We start from the raw sequence: 26803 nt of genomic DNA, 5'->3' as shown, positions 1-26803 counted from the left end.
CATTTCATTCCCACCACAATCACCTAAATACTGACCTGTTTAGTGGATCTGGAAACTGAGTCCTGGAAAAGTGAAGGTCCCATGCAAGAAAGAGGCAGAGCTGGGAATCCAGATCACCTGCCTCTAGACCCATGGCGATTAACTAATTGCCTCACACCCCAACTATTTGAGAACCATTGTCATCTCTTGAGGGATGTAGCACAAAACCGACAACACTAACAATGATGATGGTTAGCTCAATGCCTGGGAAACTTTAATCCCCTAAGAATCTTCTTCACCCACAGATTCTGATAGAGCAGGTCTAGGGGACCACCCAAAAGTCAGCCTTTCTAACAAACCCCAGGCGATGCCCACGTTGCTATTCCGGGACCACCCTGAACAGCAAATGTTTGGCTTATGCATTCTCATGCTTTGAATCTTCCAAAAAGACAGTTTTGTCTGTCCACTGCAGCTGCATAGGAAAACATGCTGAAGGTGAATAATAATTACAATCCATTGATGTCACCTGCATCCTGCTCGAACTCATGCTGAGAGCTAATATTTCTTGGGCATCTGTTGGCAAAATGTCTCATTCTGGGAGGGCCAGCCCCTGCAGGCTCATCATGAAAAGTCTTTCCAAGATTGCTTCTGTCTGCAGCCCGTTGATAGAACAGCAGCCGCACAGTATCCGGGAAGCAGATAGTTCTGGGCTGTCTGGCCCTGCCTCCGTTACCTAGAGGAATCCCAGCTCCAAAGAAAGGTATATTGGCAATGCCCCAATTTCAGCCTCCCTCCTTGTCTGGCTCAAGTCCGACTTCTTCTGAAATGCCTTTCTGGCTCTTCTCTGTTAATCCACGGAAAGATCTTGGACTAGAGTCAGATCTGAAACCAAAACTGAGTTGCATTGCTTGTTGGTCACCCACGTACTCTTATCTCAAACTCAGTTTCTTCATCTGAAAATGCTAATACTACATATTTCCTCCTTTGTACTGTTGAAAAGATGATGAAGTCAAAAAAGCATGTGAAAGCACCCGAGAACGGTTGGGTACCTCTCCTGCCCCTGCCCTTACAGTATACATTTAGAACTTAATTGCAGGTTCTGTTGTCCTCTGTTGGTTTTACATCCCTGAGAAGATCGTAGGCTATTTTTTCTTTCATGTCCCTCCAGCATGTAGGAGTACTGGGTACACACATATTCAGTAAATATCTTTGGGCTGGGCATGGTGGCTCATGCCTGTAATCTCAGCAGTTTGGGAGGGAGAGGCGGGTGAATCACTTGAGCTCAGGAGTTTTAGACCAGCCTGGCCAACGTGGTGAAACCCCATCTCTACTAAAAATACAAAAATTAGCCAGGCATAGTGGCACACAATTGTAATCCCAGCTACTCGGGAGGCTGAGGCAGGAGAATCTCTTGAACCTAGGAGGCAGAGGTTGCTGTGAGCCATGATCGCACCACTGCACTCCAGCCTGGGCGACAGAGCAAGACTCTGCATTAAAAAAAAAAAAAAAAAAAAAAAAGTTGCACTGAATGTCCTTTCCTCCATTAAGGCATAGACACAGGGGTTGGTGGAATCAAGTGGCCAGAGTCCTAGTCCTAACTTCCCCACTCACTTACTATGTAACTTTGAACAAGTTGTGCTAATTTTGAGGGGACTTTACTTCTTCCACTACAAAATGTACAGCTGTATATGGGCTTACATTGTTAGTATTTTCATGGTTTGTATTAAATACAATGGGTTAAAACCGTATGTCAGGGACCAGACAAATACAACTTCAAATGTTAGTCCTATCAATTACTTCTTCTGTGCTCTTTGAAAAGTTAGCTTCACTAAGTTTCCGATCTTTCAATCTTAATGGAACATGTGAGGATTAAATGATGTAAATACATGCAACCTGCTTCTCACTGCATCTGACACATAGTATGTATCTGTCCAGTAAACTACAGCTACTATAATCAATATTGGTCAAAAGCAATAGCTACTGTTGAAAAACACAGTGAAAAATATTTTCTAGTGGTGAGACAGATATTCAGAAGCCTTGAGTTTGGATACAAGAAAGATCTCAGTTCCTTAAGATGCACGAAGTATGTGCGTGGTATTTCTTCAGTCACCAAAATGTTATTTGCCTGCTACCCTCAAAATGGACACATTAAATAATAGAAAAGTAACAAAACAAGCGAATCAGGGAATCTGGACTGTGTCTACTGTTACAGAATACAAGGCTTTCATGATGAGAAGCGCTTCACTTGAGCTACAATAAAACCAAAACTATCCTGATGATAGCAAAAGAGTACTATTTATGTGCAGTGCAATTTGCTAAACCCCTGACAAGAATTATTTCACTGAATTATATCAACAGTATATGAAATGGATACTACTTACTATTCCCATTTCTCAGATGACAAAACGAAGAGGTAGAAAGTTTAATAACTTGCCTATAGTACATGGTTATTAAGTAGTAGAGCCTGTATCTGAAACCCCATCTGCCTTACCCGAGTCCTACTCTGAACGATTACATTGCGTGTGAAAAGAAGGGGCTACTGACATGCCATTAGGAAGGCATGGGCCTTTTTGTCCTAACGGTGTTTATAATTTCCCATAGAGGCACTCATACTTTCTGCCCTTGTCCTTCTTGAAAGGACAGCACAAACTCTGGGGTGACCAGCTGATCCAAGAGCAGGTACATGCTGCAATCCTAACAAAGCCAACAGGACTTCCACAAACGGAACTTACGCCTCCGGACTCAATCTCCACACTTTCACAGCTATTTGGTGCCTAAATTCCCAAGCTGCTTTTCTGTAAATGAATTTAGGAAATTGAGGTAAAAGTGGGTACCTTTCTCTGAATTAAACCTTTCCTTCAGAGATACAGAAAACTGACACTATCTTCTACTTTTTAAAGGAAAAGAGGTTTCTGAGAGTCCTGTGCAGTGTCAAAAGCACTTTCCAGAGACCACCCTAGATGAATCAGGGCTAAGAAAGAGAAGTTAAGATACACCTGCAAATCCAACTGAACCAATCCATTCAACCCAGACCTGATCAATCACATTTTATATAAAGAGGGTCAGTGTCTACATAGTATTTTATTCACTTCCTGTGTTTGATAATCTTTGTTGACATGCATGGGAGATGTTGAAAATAAAGGCTAAGATCTTACGTCTCTGAATCCCACCTGCATACTAATAAAATAAAATTTAAAAACTTTTACAGAGTAGCACTCCAAACAGTTTACATAAATCTGAATTTGTTGAATCATGGAGAATGATAGGCAAAAGCGAATCTCATTGTTTTAAAACTATCATCCAAATCACGAGTGCTTTTCTGAAGCATAGTCATTTAGGAGATTTCTGAGTGTGTGGGATACAAAGAAGAAGAGAAACAGGGATCGACAAGTTACTGAGAATTCACCATTGCAGGCACAGGGGTGCTTTTATGCCTTTTATCCTTTTATAAAATTTATTTAAGGCCAGGCGCAGTGGCTCATGCCTGTAATCCCAGCACTTTGGGAGGCCGAGGCAGGTGGATCACCTGAGGTCAGGAGTTCAAGACCAGGCTCGGCAACATGGTGAAACCCTGTCTCTACTAAAAATACAAAAATTAGCCAGGCGTGGTGGTGGGCGCCTATAATCCCAGCTACTCAGGGGGCTGAGGCAGGAAAGTCACTGGAACCCAGGAGATGGAGATTGTGGTGAGCCGAGATCGTGCCATTGTGCTCCAGCTGAGTAAGAAGAGCAAAACTCCGTTTTAAAAAAAAAAGTATTTTATCAAACTGATGAGAAAACTGAGTATCAGGAGCCTGTACTTTAAGTACCCATGATCCTACAGTTATTTCTAAAAATCCATCTTTTCCACTGGGCACAGTGGCTCACATCTGTAATCCCAGCACTTTGGAAGGCTGAGGCAGGTGCATCACCTGAGATCAGGAGTTCAGACCAGCCTGGCCAACATGGTGAAACCCCATCTCTACTGAAGATACAAAAAATTAGCCAGGTGTGGTGGCAGGCATCTGTAATCCCAGCTACTTGGGAGGCTGAGGCAGGAGAGTTGCTTGAACCCAGGAGGCAGAGGTTGCAGTGAGCCAAGATCGCACCATTGCACCCCAGCCTCGGTGACAGAGTGAGACTCTGTCTCAAAAAATTATAATAAAATAAAATCCATCTTTTCACCATACCATGCTACTTCCATAAATAAACATCTACAAGGCAAAAGGTGCTTGTATAATATTGCATTTAACCCTCAAAACAACCCTTCAAGGTAAGTTCCGTTGTTCCTACTCAGGCTACGTATCCATGTATTGCCCCTCAGCTGCAAATCCACCCTTCTTTTCCCTGCCTTGTGATGCTGGAGCTGTGCCCTGTCAACGTTTCTTCTTTGCCGGCTGGCACAATGTTATATCTTGTCAGTAGAGGGCGCTAGAGAGACACTAGAAGGGGCTGCCCTTTTTTGTTCTGGTGCTTTTCTGCAGAAGTCACCAGCCTCCCAATGAGTTTCACTGATACCCTAATGGGCAGTTTCCAGCTTATGTGCCCCAGTCCCCAGAACCTCTAGAGCCTCTGTGCCATACACTGGGCAATGGCCACACCCTCTCCAATAAGTTCTGAATTTTAGCCTTGGGTTTGGAGGAAGTGCAGGGAGCCTTCTTAGAAGTTTGTCCTTCAGTGAGTGAGTGGCTCAATCCTAGGAGCTGCTCCCTACATCTGTTATAACAAGAGGCATCTGTTATACCTCCATTCTTCAGAGACCTTTCCATGTTTTTACTTGTTAATGATTCTTTTATCTTTCCTTCTTGAGACAGGGTCTCCCTCTGTTGCCCTGGCTGGAGTGCAGTGGCACAATCTCGGCTCACTGCAACCTCAACCTTCTGGGCTCAAGCAATCCTCCCACCTCAGCCTCCGGAATAGCTGGGGCTACAGGCACACACCACCATGTCCGGCATTTTGTTTCTTTCTTTCTTTTTTTTTTTTTTTTTTTTGTAAAGATGGGGTCTCCCTATGTTGCCCAGGCTGCTCTGAAACTCCTGGGCTCAAGCGATCCTCCCACCTTGGCGGCCCAAAGTGCTGGAATTATATGCATGAGCCACTGCACCCAGCCAATGATTCTTAATATTAAATTTTCCCTGTTCAAATTATTGGTGTGGTTTCTGTCTTATGGGACCCTCACTGATACACTACTATATGGATGAGCAAAAAGAAACTCAGATGAGTAGGACATCATCCCTTCCTCAAGTTATTCCTCCAATAAAATGGTTAAAAGCATTCAAAGTATACTATGAGCCAGGCAGGGATTTTATACATTTAATATGTATTCCTTCCTTTTATCCACTGACCCTACTTTATGGAAGAGGAAACTGAGGCATCTCAGTGACTGAAGAATTTTCCCAGATCACATACAGAGTAAACAGAGAAACCAGGATTTGTCTCCAAGATTCTGCAGTGCTGCCCCAAACAACTGGCTGCCCTGAGAGTGAAAGAGGGTCAAGGAAACAGAGGGTATATAGACAGTCTGTCAGGAAGTTTGGAAGAGGAAGAAAGCTAGATTGTTAGCCAAAGAGGTCAACATCTGACCAAAGTTTTTTTAATGGGAGGGGTCATTAAAGATCTTCTAACTCAGTCCTTGAATTATAAACGAGTTGGTATACACTGGCCATCAGGGACTCTAGAGACCCTATTAAATAACTCTTTCCTGAATTAATGCTTAGGATATAGTCTGTGCATTATGAGCCATTAATGCAAGAGAACTGATGTTCCACAGATGTCCACTCTGTCCTCTCCGAGTTCCCCAACTCAGACTCTAATCCACGGAGGCTGGTTCAGGGGTGTCCAAATGGATATACTGATTGCCTCTGACCCAGCTGTAACCCAAGACCTCTCATTAATCCTGCATCTCTCTCATGAGGTGAGTGATGTCTACGTAATTAAAACTTAAAGCAAGAAATGGCCAGGAGATTGAAGGGTGAGGAAGCTGAGGATTCAGATGGCTCCAACACAACATTCACCCTTTAGCAACCAACATTGCCATTCAATCAGGTAGCCACCCTTTAAGTAAAATTTTATCATGTACACATGGATACATATGAAAGCCTTCCCTGGGACAAAATGCAGCCCAGCAGAATAAACACACTTAGCCCTTAGCTCACTGGGAACAGAGCTTACTAGGGGTAAACCCCATTTCACCATGCACACCAATTCTCTTTTCCAATTTTCTTTTAATCTTATCCAAATAGAATAACTGGCTCCTGGGTATTATCTTTTTCTTTTCTAAGTGTTCACTACAACCAAATCTACATTTTCAGCCAGCTTCAACTACAAATTCACCAAATGATCTATACTAGTGCTCCCTAAACTTTGCTGCACTTCAGAATCATCTGAGAGTTTTTACATAACCAACTAAACAAGAATGTCTGGGGGTGGGAGCCAGGTATCAGAGCTTTTGAAGGATCTCCAAGTGATTGAAATATGCGGCAATGTTTAGGAATCATTGGTCTATACTATTTTAACCTAATTCTCTAGTAATTTAGTATCTAAATAACTTTAGAAAACATAGACTAGTGATCTATATTTTCTAGATATTAAAATTTTCTTTAATCCAAGATATCCTTCCTCTTGTTTAATAATTTCCCACATAAAAAGAGCTAACACTCATTGAGAAGGTATTGCCAGGCCTTGCTGTAGGTACTTTATGAAGGGCACAGTGGGTCATATCTCCTTTAATCTTATTATTCCAATTTCACGGAAGAGAAAATTGAGTCAAAGAGATAATGAGCACACCTGCAACTTTATTCAGTATAACGAGATGTCATTCATCAGGGACTAGAGAAATAGACAAATTTAGAATGGTCAAATTCTCCCATGTTACCTTTCCTTTGATCTTTGGGTTTTAACTCAACCCGATTACATTTACTGTAATCTTTTTGGTTTTGAAAATTGCTGCCTTTGAAAGAGAAGACAGGCTGAGCGCAGTGGCTCACACCTGTAATCCCAGCATTTTGAGAGGTCAGGAGTTCGAGAACAGCCTGGCCAGCATGGTGAAACCCCGTCTCTACTAAAAATACAAAAATTAGCTGGGCGTGGTGATGCACCCCTGTAATCCCAGCTACTGGGGAGGCTGAGGCAGGAGCATTGGAGGCTGCAGTGAGCCGAGATTCTGCCACTACACTCCAGCCTGGGTGACAGAGTGAGATTCCATCTCAAAAAATTAAAAAAATCAAAAAAAAAAAAAAAAAAAGAAAGAAAGAGAAGACAACTGTGTGTAGGTAAATTTGGTGATATTCTGGGATATACTAAGGGAAGAAAAATCCCTCCTTTTTCTAGATTTTCAGCATCAGAGTGTTGAATGACCACAAGCAAGAATCTACACAGGATGGCTGACTCTAAAAGTGTTCTTCTCCAGAGGAGAACGCACAGGGCCCCATGTGTGATCAGGACATTAAGCCTCCTATGTGGAAAGGACTGGGCAAGGAAATGGAGTTGATTCCTGGGGAGGAAAAAAATGGGATTGGGGAAAACGAGGATAAATTAAATAATCTGTAGTCATGATTCTATGGAAGTCAGTGTAGTAGGAGCATACATATATGGAGCCCAGGGGCTGCAGAGAAGCATAGGGAAATGAAAGCGAAAAATTGAGAAGGATGATGGGTGGAACTGCTCACAGGCAGAACTCAGAGTCTCACCTACTGGGGAATATCCTAAGGCAAGTTGTCCTCTTTATAGGCAACCATAACTGCCCAAAAAGGAAGGCCATGAATGAAGAAACTACCAACAGGTGGCTACAAATGGGGCTGGGGACCTTTAAAACATGGGCATGCATCTAATTTGCCTTAATTATGCAAATTAGAGTAATTTCATTTGCCCACAATCCCAGGTTTACCATGGAAAGAGACTAAATAATCACATATACAACAAAGTCCTATGTTCTTTCCACCACCGCAAGCCACCAAGTTTTGGACATGGTCTGCCCCTAGCTACCCTCTGACCTTCCGCATGTGGCTCTGCCTCAGTAGAAGTCCCATCTGTGAAGGGGAGATGACACCTGCTCTATAAAAGGATGACTGTGAGAATGAACAGATGTAAGGCAAAGTACAACATCGTAGAGTCCCTGTCCCATGTAGTGTAGAGGTTTCGCCTGGGCATGATACTCCTTTCCAGAATGAAGTACTCATCTCCCCAGCTGCCTGGAGTAATAGCTGCTGATGGGTTACAGCTGAGTCCCTTTCTGGGCCCTGCCCTGGATTAAAGGAAGCAGCCTCGCCCAAAAAAACGCCCCTCCCTGAGGACAGACCGCATCCAATGACTAGTCCAGGAGAGGATACAAAAACCTGCCCTTTGCCTCAATTTGGGATAACCCTGCAGGGCAATCTCAGCTCTAGAATTTTTTATGGAATTGGCTAAAGCAGGTGCGTGAGAGTTGAACTTCTCCCTCAGCCCAATCCTGATTCCCTCACTTGCTTATAGCTTTGCTCCCAACAGCACTTCCCAATAAAACTCCTGCAGGCAAATCTGTCTCCAAGTCTTTTGTAGAGTCCCTTTCCAACTGAAGACATGTACTAATTACCACCAAAGAATGTGTGTGAACAGGAGACAAGACACATTGCTAAAGTTTAAGAGAAAGGCCAAACTGAGGCTCAGGGAATTCGGTACCACCCTGGAATTTCTAGAGAGTCCCGGCCCCTAGGACAGGCCAGTGACCACACTCTGGCTTACACTCCTCTACCCACTCTAGGATATTAGGAGACACTAAGCCCCTCTCCAAATCACCTCTTTGCAGAGGTAACTGACCTTTTCTTAATCCTGGATTAAGGTCTTAATGAGGGATGTCTGCTTGCTGGATGCCCCAGTTAAGATGCTGACATGTCGTCCTTAAAAACAGATCTTGAGTCCCTCCTGCCACTGGCCCTGGGCTTGAGCCACATGAACATCCCCTCCACCTTCCTCCACCCCACTCTTCCTTTAAACCAGAGACAACGAGCCGGCTTTGCCAGTTAGCAGGGCTCACGGCGTGAAAACACTATTGTTAGGTTCCTGTGCTGCACTGGGAGCTAGTGAGAAAGACAATGGCAGAGTGAGTGTGCATGAGAGAGTATGTGTCAGTGTGTGTGGGTGTGTCTGAGTGTGAGTATGCATGTGTGAGTCTGGGGGGAAGGAGATCATGATGAGTCATGAGAAACCAAAGAAGTCAAGGCAAGGGCCCTGGGCTGCTGTTACCTCCTGGCCCCCATCCTCACGCCCACATGTCTCGAGAGGTTGATCAATGGGAGCAGTCAGGACACAAGACCCAGGAGGAAAGTAAAGCACGGAATTCATTTTCAAGCATCGAATCCAGCTCCTCTTTAATTCAGCCTGGACTCTCCAGAGGGCAATCAGGAGCGCTCACGGATGTGAGTTACTTAGAGAACTTCCCCTATTTCTCTTTCCATAGGATGGCACGGAGGTACGGACTCCAGGAAGTGCTGTCTGGTGCCTGGCTTTCTGCAGTTGGCCCACACTGCTTTGAGAGGCTGCCAGGTCCTGTCTGGGTGTACCTACGATGTGGATTATTCACATCTATGGACATCTTTTCTTGGTGCCCATTTTTCCCATACATGTCCGACCATGACAGTCAGCCTGCTCAGTCACCCTCCCCCAGGGCAGCACCTGGGCTGCTCATGCATTTGTTTCCAGACAGGCCTTTTCCTGGTTAGGGATGCAATATACACTTGACTCTTAAAGAGGAGGGTTCAGACTAAGGGAGGAGTTACTGACATGCTGCAATCCAAAACCCACTCTTTAAGACAGCATCTGCATTCATAGAGTATGAGCACTCAGATGGCATGACACTGCTGCGTGACCATGGATGTAGCTCACCCTTTCTCTGGGCCTCAGTTTCCCCATCTGTTATAAGGAGGAGTTGGTCTAAGATGACTTAGATGACTCTGTAGGTCATTTCCTGTCCTAAAGGTCCACAATCATTCTTTTTTTTTTGAGACTGAGTCTCACTCTGTCGCCTAGACTGGAGGGCAGTGGCACGATCTCGGCTCACTGCAAGCTCTGCCTCCCAGGTTCACGCCGTTCTCCTGCCTCAGCTTCCCGAGTAGCTGGGACTACAGGCACCCGCCACCATGGCCAGCTAATTTTTTGTATTTTTAGTAGAGATGGTTTCACCGTCTTAGCCAGGATGGTTTCGATCTCCTGACCTCGTGATCCACCCACCTCGGCCTCCCAAAGTGCTGGGATTACAGGCATGAGCTGCTGCGCCCGGCCCCCACAATCATTCTTCATCTCACAGCTCTGCAAGTGTTAAGAAGATGCAGAAAAATTGGGCTCTGTGGCCATAGGAAGTGAAGCAGGAGAAGGCAGCCATGCTGACCACAGCCAATGGGACCAGCAACCCGGCTGTGCACTGCCGAACCCTGCCCTGTTTCTCCTTTCTCTCTTCTGACCATTTCATCACCTCCAACTAACTACCTCTCCTCTCCCTTCCCCAGCATCTTCCTGCCTCTTCAGAGAAGAACAGCTACACTGCCATGAGGGGGTGGGAGGCTGTGCTGGGCAGATGGGAGGCTTGCTCGCTCTCTCTCTAAATGCTAAACCAATCCTCATTAAAGAGTTTTGGCTGGCTGGGCACAGTGGCTCTTGCCTATAATCCCAGTGCTCTGGAAGGTCGTGGCAGGAGGATCTCTTGAACTCAGCAGTTTGAGACCAGCCTAGGCAACATGACAAGACCCAGATTCTATTTAAAAAATTAAAAATCAGCCAGATGTGGTGACACATGTTTGAGGTTCCAGCTACTCCAAAGGCAGAGTCGGGAGGATCACCTGAGCTCAGGAGTTCACAGCTGCAGTAAGCCATGATTGCACCACTGCACTCCAACCTGGGTGACAAAGTGACTCATATATATATATATTCATTTCAAGCATTCAATTAATTTTCAAGCATCGAATCCAGCTCCTCTTTAATTCAGCCTGGACTCTCCAGAGGGCAATCAGGAGTGCTTGCATGCAGGTACTCAGAGAACTTCCCCTATTTCTCTTTCCATAGGATGGCATGGAGGTATGGACTCCAGGAAGTGCTGTCTGTTGCCTGGCTTTCTGCAGTTGTGCCCACACTGCTTTGAGAGGTTGCCAGGTCCTGTCTGGGTGTGTGTGTGTGTGTGTGTGTACATATATATATATATGTGTGTGTGTGTGTGTGTGTGTGTATATATATATATATATATATATATATATATATATTTTGGCACAGCCTGACTCTTCCAATTTAAACCTAGTGGGGACTGGAAGGGAACAAGTCAGGAGAGAAGAGATCTAAGGATAAAAGTAGCCAAATGACAAGCTGCAGACACCGACTCACCCACGGGCACAAGCTATGACATCCTAGCAGTGCCTCACCCCCCATTGCAATCTCTTCTCACGTCATTGATAACATGGCCCTAACCAAAATCTGATTCCCATCCTACAGTCCATACACTATGGATCATGCAGCTGTGCACCCACCCCAGATGCCGGAGCCTGCCTGAGGTAGGCAGTACTGCAGAATAAGCCCCTGACCCTTGGCAAGGACCTGTCCTCTACAAATGCAGGAGTGTGAAAGTCTAACTTCCAGCAGGTGAAGGCCATAAAGCTCAGCATGGACCAAAATTACAACATGACTGTAAGAATAATTAACACATGTGGGCCTTGTCAACTGAAGCAAGTGAAGGAATGTACTAATCCCACCACAGATGATGTCAGTAAGGGGCATAACTAGAAAGCATCATACTCGGCAAGGCCTATTGTTCAAAGATAAATAAAGACAGTGTGGGTCTAAAAACCCTGCCCTGTGCAAAACTGTAAAGTAACTAGGCATGTTTAGACTAAAGGAGAGATGCCTTAAGGTAAACAGGATTTTGAGTATCTCAGAGGAGGAAGAGAGAGGGGAAGCAAAAGGGGAGAAAGGTCTTTTTTTTGTTCCTCCAGAGGGAGGTTATCAGATGGCATAATTGGGTTTGAAATAACAAGGAATATTCTAAGAGTTTAGGCCACTCTCACAAACATTGCAAGAGGCTAGTGCATAGGAGGTGAGTTCCTAGTCAAGAGATTGGTTTCACATCCTCATCTCAGTCCAGACTCCCTCTAAAAACCTCCCAACTCTGAGACATCAACTGTCTGCACAGTGCCCAGTAGCAGGTGACATCCAGCAAAGCCCCAGAGGAGGAGTGAGCACAGGGCCATGTGATTTTTGTACTGGAAACCACCAGGGACATCCATCTGCTTCTATTTTATAGATCCTTCTTCTCCAGATTGAGAGTTGGGGTCCTCCCTCTATTGTTGGGGGCCAGAAATATATCCATAGACTCACAGATCTCCAAAGTGGAAAGGCCTTTCAATCTCGCTCAGCCCAATTTCCACCCAAAGCAGGTATTGCCTCTGTAGCTTCCTCCAAAGAGGAGGTGATAAAAGTAGGAAAGGAAAAGAAACCATGGGGTCTCTTCCATTCACCTCCAAAAGAGTGGGTTGATATTCTTAACTAGGTAACCAAATCCTTCTCTCAAGACAGGTTGACAGGTTGTGTCTCTCAATCCACTGAGGCCCTGCTCCTACTGGTCATTCTGGGTTCAGAGCAACCAAAGGTGTCCAAACCCCCACCAAGAACAGAAATGGCCCTGTGCAGCTTCCTGGAAGTCTTGTGAAATATGCACAAGTGGGAGGGAGTGGATGCTAGGAAAGCTCTGCCCACTGCTGGGTCCCTGTATGCTGACATTTGTAGTCAAGATGGAAAACATCCACAGACACGCCCTGGAGGACTGGATGGTTTTCTTCTAAATAATCTAACATTTGACTCACCAAAACCCCTGATATCAGGATCTGTAAAATACCATTGTCTGCTATGTGGCATTAGAATTCTCTCCTCGACCAATGGCCCTTTTCCAGCCTTGATTACTCCCAGACCTCACTGGGGAACAGGGGCAGATTGAAGCTGGGCAGCTCAGTCCTCCCAGGTTGGCCATCTCTCCCAACCTCCACATACCTCATGCCATATTCATAAGCAGCTGGACAAATAAGTCTCCTAAGTAGTGAATAGAAAGAGAGATTAAAGAGTACAAGAAGAAAAAGAAACCTTGAGCTGAATACTAGACATGTAGTCTAACAGCATCATTTTCAGAAAAGTAGTAGTTGAGCAAAACCAGGAAGTTATAATAAAAGCTTGGATGCGTGCTGAACCGTGGTGCCCATTTTGGCTTGACAGAGCTCCCAAGGGTAATGCCTCCCACATACTCCTGGCTACACCCACCCCGATCCCCCACAGACACTTCTGTCCATCCTCCTTCCCTGAGGTCAGAAGACTGTGCAGAGGGTTAAATTTAACTCAGGGGACCAATTTGGGCGTGGGTAGTAATTATAATACCTTGTACTTATGTCTAGCTATTCCTGGCCTGCAGCTTGTTTTCCTTCAATTCCATCCAAAGAGGTCAGTGAGCCTTGTAGATGTGGCTTCTGGGCCCTCCTGGGACAGACTTGCCGATGCTGTCCACATTGCCTGGTGGTGGAAACCAGGAAGGGATTTTTCTCCTCACTCTGTAAGCCACAAGGCAGGGAGGACAAATGACAGGGCTGCCTTTGCAGAACAAGTCACGCAGACTGAACTGAGGACTAGCCTGGGCTCAGCTCAGAGAATTGCTGGTCATTTAGTAAAGCACACAGAAAAGCCAGCTTAGCCAGGCAACCTTGCTGATAAGAGATTATTCAAATTGTGATCTCCAACTTAGATGACCAGTTAGTTTACCAAAAAAAAAAGAGAAAGATTTCATGAAAACTTACATAATACTCTTATCAATGAGGCAGTTCTGTTGTAAGAACTTTATAAATATTAATTCCTTTAATTCTCATAACAATTCTATTTAATGAGCACTATCATAAGCCTATTTTAGAGGTGAGAAAAGAGGCAGAGATTGGCTGAGAAACTTACCCAAGAGCGTACAGATAGTAGCTGGTGGGGCTAGGATTCAAACCCAGGGGCCTGGCTCCAGGATACCTGCTCTTGACCACTAACGAGAAGCTACCCTGCTCAAATTCATGGGCCCCAGGCAGATATTCTGATGGACTAGGTCCCCACATGATTCTGATGACTAGCCAGGTTTGGGAATCACTAAGTCAGTGGTTCTCAAACTGTGGTGTGCTTATTGATAATCGGATTCCCGGGGCCCAGAAATTCTGGAATTGGAACCCAGAATCTGTAGTTTTAACAAGCACCTAAGGCGATTCTAGGGTGGGTGGGGCAGGAAAGGAAGGCACTGGAGAAAGGGTGCCTGCAGTCCTCCCACTTCACCCCACCCACTTGGGGCACAGAAACTGATGCGGGCACCTCACTGAAGTCTGCAGAGACCATTCTTTCTCGCACCGGGGCGGCTGCCCTGGAGGAGGGGAGCTGGTGGCTGTGAGGCAATTCTGTCCCTTAGCCTCGGTGACAAGGCTGCCTTCAGAGGAGGGGAGGGTATGTGACCAAAGACAGCCCACTGTCCTTCCACACTTGACACGCTGCACATCAGAGGGAGACAGGCAGTTGGTAACAGGGAAAGAAAAAGAGACTAGGCGGTCTGGCCCCTATCTCCCATCGCCAGAACAATGGCCTCTTCAAACCCCTGGCATCTGAACTGGCAGTCAGCCACCAGGAAAGAAAAGAGCTCGCTGTCCCTTTAAGGACGTCCTCTCTACACAAAGGTCAGAAATGCCAGCTCAGCCTATCCAGAGGCTGCCTTTTTGGCACTTTGGGGCCCGGGGGCCCTGGTGGCAATGCCCTTTCCAGCTGGTTCTCTGTGCACCTGCTGGCTTCTGAAGAAGGCAGGGCACCTGGATGACAACCGCCGCTGTGGGCAATGCTCAGTGACAGGGCAGGAATGGCTGATGTGGAGGGAACCCAGGACCTCCTGTGCATCTCAAGTTTTCCTCCCAGGGAGAGTTAGCAAGAAATGGGTGTTGGAGCAAGGTTGGAAAGCCACCTACAGGAGGAGGGGTGGGGTCAAAAAGAAAACTGGCCAAGGAGTGAATGCTCCAAGAGAGACATATATGAACTAAAAGAGCAAAGGCTAACCGACAATTGGCCCAGAAATCACAAAGAGAACAGAGTAGAGAGTAGAAAGAGTTAGGAAGGAAAGGTGGTCAGGGGTTTGGTTGGAAGCAGTGGGGTGGTTAGGGCAAGGGCTTTTATTCTGCAGACTGGGTTCAAATCCTGGTACTTGACCTTGGGTACCTTTCCTAACTTCTTAGCCTTGATTTCTCTACAATATTGGCATACATTGAGCAGTAAATAAATATCAGAAACAAATACTGTCTGTTATTAGGGCACTAGCCACTCCATGTGTGTCTTGTAGGCAGCTCAGATGTTCAATCTCTCCTCAAAAGGCCTAATTCCCAGACCACACCCCTGGTTCTAGTAAATCATCTTGCAAATAATGCCATGAGCAAAGGAGGCCCTCATTAAGAAAATTGCACGGGCTGGTGCAAACCATGAGTCACCATGAGTCTTGTGGAAAAACAACTCAGAATTATTCAACTGCTAACAATATAAAGCAAGGTCGGCAAACTTTTTCTGCAAAGGGCCGGACAGTAAATACTTTAAGCTTTGCAGACCACACAGTCTGTCCTAACTACTGAACTCTGTTGTGATAGGGCAAGAGCAGTCACAGACAACAAGTAAATGAAAGCCTGTGACTACATCCTAGAACAAATTACAAAAACAGGCAGCGGGCTGAAGTTTGCTGACCCCTGAGATAAAGGATGGCATCAGTGGAGGAAATGGCGAATTCTTCTGCGAAATGGGATCAAAGATATGGAGGCAGAAGCCTATTTCTTGACCTTCTACCTTAGGAATGCAAGTATTTTACCCAGTTACTTGACTTCCAAGAAAAGTTTCTGGCTAACACCAGCCAACTGCACTGACTTCTCTATTCTGGTTTCCTCAGCATTCATATCCAGAGTTTATAGGTATCTCTCTCCACTTCAAAGGTTTCTTTTTCTTGCTGTTATGTGACAGTGGGAGCTGCCCATAAGCAGGGTTTCCTCCTTTGGCCAACTTAGTGAGGGTTGAATGGCCACCCCCAAGGTGTCCACACCAATGTCCTTCATAGCAAATGTCCATCCCCTATCCAACTTCCCTGGCCACAGAGGTTTCAGGTCTGTTCTTTACCAGCTTCCTGAACAGCTACACATCTCAGAAAGTCCATGTATATTTTTATTCTTTCACTGATCCAGTTAAATAGGGGAGTGCCTACCATGCTCCAGGTAAATCTTAGAAAGCAAGCATTTCACCTCTACCTTGGTTGGCAGTGAAGGCTGGCAGAGAGGCTATGGTTGGCGTTCTCTCAGAAGGCTCTCTGAGATGTGTTTATTTCCTGCTCCCTGGTGTCTTCCCACCCAGAAGCTCGAGCACTGCAAAATGACAATTTCTTAACGGCAGTAAAATCGAGAGGTATAAAAAGTAAGCTGAGAATGAGGAAACAGTGAAATCAAGTGCAAAGGAGGTAGACAGGGAAGAAACAAATTCACTTCACTGTTTCAATTTAAAAAAAAAAAGAAAAAGAAAAACTACTCGCCAGGCTGGGCGCAGTGGCTCATGCCTGTAATCCCAGCACTTTGGGAGGCTGAGGCGAGTGGATCACCTGAGGTCAGGAGTTCAAGACCAGCCTGGGCAACATGGTGAAACCCCGTCTTTACTGGAAATACAAAAAATTAGCCGGGCATGGTGGCACGCACCTGTAATCCCAGCTACTCGGGAGGCTGAAGCAGAAGAATTGCTTGAACCCAGGAGGCGGAGGTTGCAATGAGCCAAGATCATGCCATTGCACTCCACCCTGGGCAACAAGAGCAAAATTCCGTCTAAAAAACAAAACAAAACAAAACAAAAACCTACTTGCTGGCATCATTCTCTCCGCATAGAATGACCTCATTCCACAAACCCACCCTATGTGGTCCCAGCTTTTCTTCAAAGCTCTGCTCCCAATGCTTCTTCCCCAGGGAGACTTCCCTGATAAATTCTCCCAGAGCACAAACTCTCCAGCATCCCGTGGAATTCTCCAGTACAGTTCATGCCTGCTGATGTACATTATGCATGGCCTGTGAGTGCCTATGAGGTCTCTCAAAACCCTCAGACTATTCGCTTCTCAAAGGCATCCCATGACGTTTCCTTCCTTCCACGTTCCCTATGGGACCTTGTAACTGGCGAGTGCTCTCAGTTGCCTGGCCAAGGCCCTGCTTCAATGAAAGAGCTGCTATCTTACATTATCCTCAGGGATCTGGCATCACTGTTCATGCCACCATCCATGCATTCACATACACCAAGACATATGTGGAATGTTGGTGTGCCACTCGGTGCACTATAGATTGCTCTATATCTCATTTACAAACTGATTTAGTCCTCAAACCAACCTACTAAGGACAGGTACTAGGAAATACATAGCTGGCATAAAATAAAGTGGCTGATTTTAGAAAAGCTAATGAAAAATATGGGGGAGTGATGGGAAGTGGTCGACAGTCACACTCTGGAAGGGGTACTCATCTACCTGGCACCTGATGCTAGGAAAATGGACATGACTGTCAAAGTCCCCTCTAATTCCATGATTGAGATTTATTTAGTCATCTAGGTTTTATAAAAGTAGATATAATATTATATCAAGGTGTACTAATGTATTAATTTTTAAAATCACAGAAGGACTCAAAAAAAAGGCATAGGATAAGAATACATATACTCTTAAACTTCAGGAGGAACTTCCTGTGAATAATTCCAGATGTAGAAACCATACAGGAAAAGAGTGATTGATGTGATTATATTCAAACAAACCAACAAACTTATATAGGCTAAAAATCAGCTTAAAGTTAATAGACAAAAGAAACTCTGGGAAAGTACTTGCAACATGTATTACCAAAGGTTAATATCTTTATTAAAGAGTTCCAACGAATAAAAAAGACAAACAAGTCAACAAGAAAGGGAGCAAAGGCCAAAAAAAAAAAAAATCAATTCACAGAAGAAATATAAATAGATCATATGAAAATTAATAACATGTTACCAATGATCAAAGAAATGCAAACCAATGTAACTCTGAGATACCATTTTTGAAATATCAGATTGGCAAAGGCTAAAAAGAATGGAAATACCGAGGCAAGGAAGGACACGGGGAGGAAGCCAGTACTCATGACTTGCTGCTTGGTGTGTAAGCTGGAACAGCCTCTCTGAAAGGCAGTTTGGACTAGGGACCCAGAAATCTGGCTTCTAGGTTTCTATCTAAAGAATGCTAGTCCCTGTAATCCCAGTACTTTGGGACACCGAGGCAGGTGGATCACCTGAGGTCAGGAGTTTGAGACCAGCCTGACCAACATGGAGAAACTCCGTCTGTACTAAAAAATACAAAAAACTAGCAGGGCGTGGTGGCACATGCCTGTAATACCAGCTACTCGGGAGGCTGAGGCAGGAGAACTCCTTGAACCCGGGAGGCGGAGGTTGCGATGAGCCGAGATCACGCCATTGCAATCTAGCCTGGGCAACAAGAGCGAACTCCGTCTCAAAAAGAAAAAAAAGAAAAGAAAAGAAAAGAAAAATGCTAGTCATGACATTTATTTTTAAATTAAAAAAAACTACAGATAAGCTCAATGTCAAATACAAGTAGATTGGACAGATAGGGATGCATGTTTGTGATGCTATCCTTAAAATTAACTATGAAAACCAACACTTATTGTTATAGAGAGATCAGATATTGTTAATTATCAGAATATATAGGATGACTTAAATGTATGTGTGTATCTATCTATAATATATATAGAAAAAATAGCTTGAAGGATATAAACCAAAATGCTAATATGGGGTGGTATTATGACCAATTTCGTTTTCTTTTGGCTCTTTATATTTTCTAATTTTTATACAATGCCCATGGATAATTTGTGTTAAAAAAAAAACAACAGTCAAACAAATTATGATTACTGATAACTTTCTCTTCACATTATTAGTTAATTCTAATTTACTAAAGAGAAGACATATGTAAGAGAACTCTAAAAAGCAAAAATACTATACAAATGCAAAGTGTCATCAATTATCCAGCAAATACTTTTTGAGCACCAACTATGTGTAAAGCCTTGTAGAAAGTACACTGAGAAAATAAAAGAGAAATTAGGATAACTCAGCTGGGTGCTGTGGCTCATGCTTGTAATCCCAACTGTTTGGGAGCCCAAGGTGAGTGGATCACTTAAGCCCGGTTGTTTGAGACCAGTTTGGGCAACACAGTGAAATTCCGTCTATACAAAAAATACAAAAAAAAAAACAACCAAAAAACCTGAGTATGGTGGTGCACACCTATAGTCTCAGCCACTTGGGAGGCTGAGGTGGGAGGATCACTTGAGCCCAGGAGGTCAAGGGTACAGTGAGCTGTGGTCATGCCACTGCACTCCAGCCCACATGACAGAAACCTTATCTCAAAAAAAAAAAAGGAAGATAGAAAAATTGAGATAACTCTTTACTCTTAGAGAAGATTTAATATGTTATAAAAGACAGAATGATATCTAACCCAAGACACTGAAATTATAGGAATCCATAGTGCTCAGAGAATAGAAAACAACTAATTCCTACTCGCGGATCAATTAAATCTGCAAAGATTTCTTCAAGGAGGAGGTACTGAAACTAAATTCTGGAGGATAACTGGGATTTCCGTAGGCAGAAACACTAAGCATAAGCAAAGGAACAGCAGAATTAAATACTGCAGAGATAGAAACGGTATGTGACATGCCCTGCAATGGATGAGGGTGTCGGTAGCTGCAATAAGAGAATGGACTGAGTGATGAGGCTGGACAGTCAGGATGGGGACAGCCAAGAGAACACCCTGCATGCCGTTCAGGGTGTCAACTGTATTTTGTAAGTAATGGGAATCAAATTCAGGGTTTGGGTTTTGTTTGTTTGTTTGTTTGAGACAGGGTCTCTCTCTGTCACCCAGGCTGGAGTGCAGTGGTGTGATTATGGCTCACTGAAACCTCAACCTCCTGGCTCAAGTGATCCTTCCACCTCAGCCTCCTGAGGAGCTAGGACAACAGGTGCATACCACCATGTCTGGCTAATTTTTATTTTTATTTTTGGACATGGGGTCTCACTATGTTGCTTAAGCTGGTTTTGAACTCATGGGTTCAAGCAATTCTCTACCCTTAGCCTCCCAAAGTGCTGAGATTACAGGCGTGAGCCACCACATTTAACCCAAATTCAGGTGTTGAAGAAGCGTTGGTAATGTTACTTGTATGACAGCTGAATGAAAATTGGACCCAATTGTTTGGAGTTTTTTGTTTTTAAGAGACAGGGTCTTACCCTGTCACCCTGGCTAGAGTATAGTAGCATGATTATGGTTCATTGTAACATCCTTGAACTCCTGGGATCAAGTGATCCTCCTGCCTTGGCCTGCCGAGTAGCTGGGATTACAGGTGTGAGCCACCAAGCCTAGCTCTGAACTTAAAAATTAAGAGATTATACAGCCAGAGAAAGTAACGAAGTACTGATACATGCTACAACTTGGATGAAACTTGAAAATGTTATGCTAAGTGAAAGAAACCAGAAACAAAAGTCCATATAATTCCATTCATATTAAAGTCCAGAACTGGGCGCGGTGGCTCACACCTGTAATCCCGGCACTTTAGGAGGCTGAGGTGGGTGGATCACCTGAGGAAAGATCAGGAGTTCAAGACCAGCCTGACCAACATGGTGAAACCCTGTCTCTACTAAAAATAAAAAAAACAATTAGTCAGGTGTGGTGATGCGTGCCTGTAGTCCCAGCTACTCAGGAGGTTAAGGTGGGAGGATCGCTTGAACCCGGGAAGCAGAGGTTGCAGTGAGCCCAGATTGAGCCACTGCACTCTAACCTGGCGACAGAGTGAGACTCTGTCTCAAAAAAAAATAAAATAAAATAAAATAAAGTCCAGAATAGGGAAATCTACAGAAATAGAAAGTGGTTGCCTAGAGCTGGGCCGAGGGGTGAGGGTGAGTAAGGGACTGCTAGCTAAATGGTGTGGGGATTCTTTTTGAGGTGTTGAGATGTAAAGTTGACTGTGGTAATAGCTGCAAATTAAAGGCCTTTGAATTGTACATCTTAAATGAGTGAATTGTACAGTACATGATTATATCAAAATGAAGCTGTTTTCAAAAGGGGAAATCAGTCAGGTGGCTGTTCCACCATGCCAAGCAAGACACTAGAAGGTGATAAATTAGGAAGGTGGCAAGAGTCTAAGGAAACAGAGTAGTATAAGTCAGGGAGACACTGCAAAGACAGAACCACATGGAGAGTGAGGAAGAACAATGAAAAAATGCTGCAAAAGCTCCCAGTATAAATGACTGGGAGAGGAGGATGTGAAGAGGAGGTTGGATGGGAGATAGTTATAAATATGTTTTTCATGCAGCAAATGCATGAAGCTTAGCCCGTCCCAAGAAGAATAGAAAGAGGGAGACAGGTGCTCATTCGTAGTTCATATTCCTTTTCCTGGCAAGGATGTGGCTAAGGGTACCTTGTGACTAATGATGACAACTATGAATTATATTATAGCACTAGTGATCAGCATAAAAACTGTCCTAACTTATGCCTAGAAACACACTTAGGAGAATTTAGCCACAGAAAGCAGTTAAGACTGCAACAAGCGAGAAAAACCAGTTCTATAGCTGCACACACAATACTCTTCAGTATTTAACAGCACTAAGTACTTACTGCACCAAGTACAGATTTTTGTAAAAAGGAGAACTATCATTGCTGCTATGAACATACTGGCTTATACAAGGAAAGCTCAATCGCTAAATGGTAATGGTTGGCTCCTATTACTCATAGGCCCCACAAGGTACAAATGTGTTTTGCTTGTTTATATCAAAGAAAGCAAGAACGTGAAGTAGAAACTCTTGGCTAATGAAATCAGGGGGTTAACAGAAACCATTTGAACATGCCAGAGTTAACAGATGCAAGATAAACGCATAAAAAGGTACATTTCAGATCGAGAAGAAGCCTGAGGAAAATAATGTGCAACCAGCACAGCAGATCACCTTCAAAAGCTCAATGGTCAGTTCCCAAAATTTGCATCCTCAGGTTTGTGAAGTTAAGCCTCTAGAAAACAAAGGAGCTTTGCATGTCATTGTCATAATGTCCCTGGATGTAAACTATGACCTTTCAATAAGAAAAGACAGTTGAGGTCACTTCAGGGAAGCAATTATGAAACAAAGAATCTCCCAGTCTCAGGAGAAAGGGCCCAAAAAGAGGTCTGAACTGAAAGATAAATCTATTTGCACTACAGTAGAAGAGGCATCTCAGTTTTCCAGTGGAATTTTCCTATAAGACCCTACCTGAAAGGGAGGTCCAGCTCTGGCTACCCCCATGACAGCAGGCACTCTGCTAGAGCAACAACCAGTACTGACTCATCCTTTTATGCTTGCCACCTAGCCCAGTAGATACTCAAGAAATGTCAGTTTAGTAAACAAACAATTAATTCAAGACGGGGCAGAAAGAATCCAGTGGAAACTCAGGAAGAATATTAAAGGTCTTGTACACTAAAGATCCTTAGCATGAAGCCCCCGAAGGTCTGAGAGACCAATCTACTGCTCTAATCCTGCCCATCATCTTAGAGATGAGGTCATTGGTGACTTGCCCAAAGTCACACTTCCAGTAAATGTAGAACAAGTTCCAGCCTCCAGTGCAGTGGTCAAGTGACCATAACCTTGTGGGACAGGAGTTGGAAGAGCTCCAGCAATGAGACCAAAACACATGACTGGGGAGGCTGTTCACTTGAAAGGAAGGGTCAAACTGACTGATAGTGACCTTGTGTCCTGAGAAAGGCACTACTAGAAAAATAATAATGATCAGAACTCGCTGGCCCCACCTAAGGCATGAAAAACAGTAGTAAATTTTAAGTGCAGGAAAGGCAAGGACTGTAGCCATGTTTTCTGTATATAGTGCTAAATATAAAACAAAAAAAATATAGGGGCAGCTAACTTTTATAACGTGCCAGGCCCCATCCCAAGAGCATCAACACGAATTATTTCATTGAATCCTGACAGTCTTCACAACAGCCCTCTGGGGTAGATGTCATTAACCCGATTTTATTTTATTTTATTTTTCATTTATTTACATATTTTTTGAGATAAGGTCTTGCTCTGTCACCCAGGCTGGAGTCCAGTGGTTAGATCTCGGCTCACTGCAACCTCTACCTCTGGGGTTGAAGCTATTCTCATGCCTCAACCTCCCAAGTAGCTTGGATTACAGGCATGCACCACCACACCCAGCTAATTTTCACGTTTTTGGTAGAGATGGGGTTTCACCATGTTGGCCAGGCTGGTCTTAAACTCCTGGCCTCAAGTGATCCACCTGCCCCAGCCTCCCAAAGTGCTGAGATTACAGGTGTGAGTCACCACGCCTGGACAACCACATTTTACAGATGAGAGAATCAAGGCTTGGGGACAGTAAGTGACTTCTCCATAGTCACACCAGTAGTGAGCAGCAGAACCATGTGCATCTGTCCCCAGAGGCCCGCCACATAGCTGAAGGGAGGGTATTCTGTGTTCTGGGCAGCCATTTATCCCCACACTGCAACAACGAGGCACCTGCTGAGAAGCATAGCCTGCCACCTCCAAGTGGGAGACTCTGAAACCCAGACTCAGGAACCTACTCAGTGCTCATTTCCCAAGATTTCCATTCTCTGGGGCTTGTCCTCCCAGCCTTTGCATATTGCCATAGATTTTTAAAAGAGAAAAAAAAAGGCCTCACACGTATAGGCAATGTTCTAATGCTTAACTGAACGGTGAACAGACAATGTTCATCTTTACACTGTATGGATACATTATATACATTTTTGTGTATGCATGATATATTTCACAATTTTTTTGTAATCACTCCTAACCCAGCCCTGAAGTGACAGCCACCAGATCAGCTGTGACATCCACCATGGCTCACTATGAGGGAAGGTAGACTGGGGAAACTATCTTCTACTGCATCACCTACTGATAAAGAGCACACCACCATCCAAAAAGGATGATTCACCCCCTCAGCAAACCTTCTCTCAATTGTGAAATATAAAGCTACCGATTCCTACCAGCTCAACATTTCACTCATCAAGGAGTGTGGAGGTCGAGAGCACAGGCTTTAGAGCATCACCTCTTCAGTTTTATCCCAGTTCTGCCATTTATTATATGGTCTTGGGCTAGTTATTTAAGACCTGTTTGAGACTCTGTTTCCTAACATATAAAATGGGGGAAAAAAAAAAAACATCTTTCCTGTAGGGTTGTATTAAGGTTGTATGAGATTTTTTTTTTTTTAAATGGAAAGCTCACAGAAGCATCATGATTGTAATTTCTAAAGCTCTTCCCACACTAAGAACGTGTGTACTCCAGTTCTCAGCCCCAAGCGTCCTGCCCACTGAATTGGAAAGTGCATCTCCATGCTCTTTGGTTGTCCTGAGCCTGAGGGCTTTTCCCACTGAGTCTAGCCAGCCCAGGCCTCTGCCTCACTTTTGAGGTTGTCTGTAGGTGAGCCCTGTTTTGCCACTTAAACGTCTACCCTTGCATGGCCACATATCCCTGTCCTGACCAGGCTGCTCAGCTCCCTCCCTTCCCAAGGCCCTCAGTCTGATTTCTGTGGCCCAGTCTTGCTTCTCCTTTGCCTGAGACCCCCTCATTATTTTTTTTTTTCTTTGAGATGGAGTTTCGCTCTTGCTGCCTAAGCTGGAGTGCAATGGCACAATTTTGGCTCACTGCAACCTCCACCTCTGGGTTCAAGCAATTCTCCTGCCTCAGCCTCCAGAGTAGCTGGGATTACAGGCGCCTGCCACCATGCCCAGCTAATTTTTTTTTATTTTTAGTAGAGACAGAGTTTCACCATGTTGGCCAGCCTGGTCTCAAACTCCTGACCTCATGTGATCCACCCGCCTCGGCCTCCCAAAGTGCTGGGATTACAAGCATGAGCCACTGCGCCAGGCCTGCTCGTCTCTCTTGAAATCTCAGTGGACTCCATTCTCCAAGGATCAACCCACATCCCATCTCCTTCATTCAGCCCTTCTCAATTTCTTTTGCCCATTACTACCTCTCCATCTCTGTTCTTGCACATCTTTGGCAATTGTACAAGTGACCCCTGAACAACATGGATTTGAACTGTGCAAGTCCAAATACGTGCAAATCTTCTTTCACCTCTGTCGCCTCTGAGACAGCAAGACCAACCCCTCCTCTTTCTCCTTCTCAGCCTACTCAATGTGAACACAATAAGGATGAAGGCCTTTATGACAATCTGCTTCCACTTAATGAGTAGTAAATATATTCTCTTATGACTTTCTTAACATTTTCTTTTCTCTACTTACTTTATTGCAAGAATACAGTATATAATGCATAATACCAAAAATGTGTTAATTGACTGTGTTATCAGTAAGGCTTCTGGTCAACAGTAGGCAATTAGTAGTTAAGATGTTGTGAAGTCAAAAGCTACACACAGATTTGACTGCATGGGCGTTGGTGCCCCTAAGCACCAAGTTGGTCAAGGGTCATCTGTAATTCAAACCATTAAATGCTGTCTTCATAAATTACTATTCCTCAAACTTTTCGTATTAGTCTCATGTCTTCTCATAGACAAAGACCTGTCTTCCAGTTGCTTTGTAATTGTGGTAGTTAAGAGCATGGACTCTAAAGTCAGACTACCAGCTCAAACACTTTTGAGCTGTGTGACCTTGCTTGGAGTACTTGGCTCCTCTGTGCTTTAGTTTATTCACTTGTAAAATCTGAATAATCTGTACCTAGATTTAAAAAAATTGCTATGAGTTTATAAGATTTAAAACATAGGCTGAGGCCAGGCACAGTGGCTCACGCCAGTAAACCCAGCACTCCAGGAGGCTCAGGCGGGTGGATTATTTGAGGTCAGGAGTTCAAGACCAGCCTGGTCAACATGGTGAAATCTTGTCTCTATTAAAAATACAAAAATTAACCTGGCATGGTAGCTGGCGCCTGTAATCCCAGCTACTCAGGAGGCTGAGATGGGAGAATCACTTGAACCCAGGAGGCAGAGGTTACAGTGAGCTGAGATTGCCCCATTGCACTCTAGCCTAGGTGACAGAGCCAGACTCTGTCTTAAAAAAATAAAATAAAATAAAAATAAATAAATAAATAAAATATAGAGTGAATTAAATGTTAGACATATTATTAGTATCCTTATCATCACATTACCATTACAGTACCTAGAACAGGACTGCTAGCTAAGTTTCTGCAAACACAAACCAAAGAATAGCACTAAGAATTAATAAACAGGCCAGGCGCGGTGGCTCACGCCTGTAATCCCAGCACTTTGGGAGGCTGAGGCGGGCAGATCACCTGAGTTCGGGAGTTTGAGACCAGACTGACCAACACACAGAAACCCTGTCTCTACTAAAAAAATACAAATTTAGCCAGGCCTGGTGGTGCATGCCTGTAATCCCAGCTACTCGGGAGGCTGAGGCAGGAGAATCGCTTGAACCAGGGAGGCGGAAGTTGTGATAAGCCGAGATCGCACCATTGCACTTCAGCCTGGGCAACAAGAACAAAACTTGTTTTTATCCAGTAAAAACATATTTTGTTGCACTTGAGAAGTATCTCTATTTGCTTAAACTAGAGGCAGCAAACTTTGAGTAAAGGGCTCGATAATAAATGTTTTAGATCAGCCAGTCATAGACCTGTTGCAACTACTCAATTCTGCTGTTGTAGCATGAACGTGATCATTGGTAACATATAAACAAATTGGTATGCCTGTGTTCTAATAAAACGTATGGAATTTCATATAATTTTTGCATGTCATATTATCCTTCTCTTAATTTCTTCAACCATTTAAAAAGGTAAAGAAACATTCTTAGTTTGGAAGAACTGTATAAAA

At 44.2% G+C, this 26803-nt stretch overlaps 1 protein-coding gene across 36 annotated transcripts in view, besides 2 other annotated features; it reads right to left on the bottom strand.

The window, feature by feature from the left end:
• Positions 1–26803, bottom strand: part of GRAMD1B (GRAM domain containing 1B) — a 269346-nt gene that overhangs the window by 68293 nt on the left and 174250 nt on the right. The window contains exon 1 of one of the 36 annotated variants that reach the window (XM_047427328.1): positions 36–1032. The exons of the other annotated variants lie outside the window; for them this stretch is intronic. Within the exon in view, the coding sequence (XP_047283284.1) occupies positions 36–133 (98 nt within the window). The 5' untranslated portion in view covers positions 134–1032. Of the gene's footprint in view, positions 1–35; positions 1033–26803 lie in introns of those variants that run through there. 36 annotated transcript variants of the gene reach the window in all.
• Positions 12020–12089: a silencer, noted in NCBI's record as "silent region_4019". NCBI's record gives its function as "represses an Ori minimal core promoter by ATAC-STARR-seq in GM12878 lymphoblastoid cells {active_cell/tissue: GM12878}" and the evidence as "EXISTENCE:reporter gene assay evidence [ECO:0000049][PMID:35858748]".
• Positions 21692–22266: an enhancer, noted in NCBI's record as "OCT4-NANOG hESC enhancer chr11:123407917-123408491 (GRCh37/hg19 assembly coordinates)". NCBI's record gives its function as "activates a minimal SCP1, AML or CMV promoter by ChIP-STARR-seq in naive H9 embryonic stem cells {active_cell/tissue: H9 hESC(naive)}" and the evidence as "EXISTENCE:reporter gene assay evidence [ECO:0000049][PMID:30033119]".

Source organism: Homo sapiens, chromosome 11 (assembly GCF_000001405.40).
Source record: "Homo sapiens chromosome 11, GRCh38.p14 Primary Assembly".
Lineage (NCBI taxonomy): Eukaryota > Metazoa > Chordata > Mammalia > Primates > Hominidae > Homo > Homo sapiens.
The sequence above is the reverse complement of the archived record's forward strand: the minus strand, read 5'-3'. Positions and strand labels throughout refer to the sequence as shown.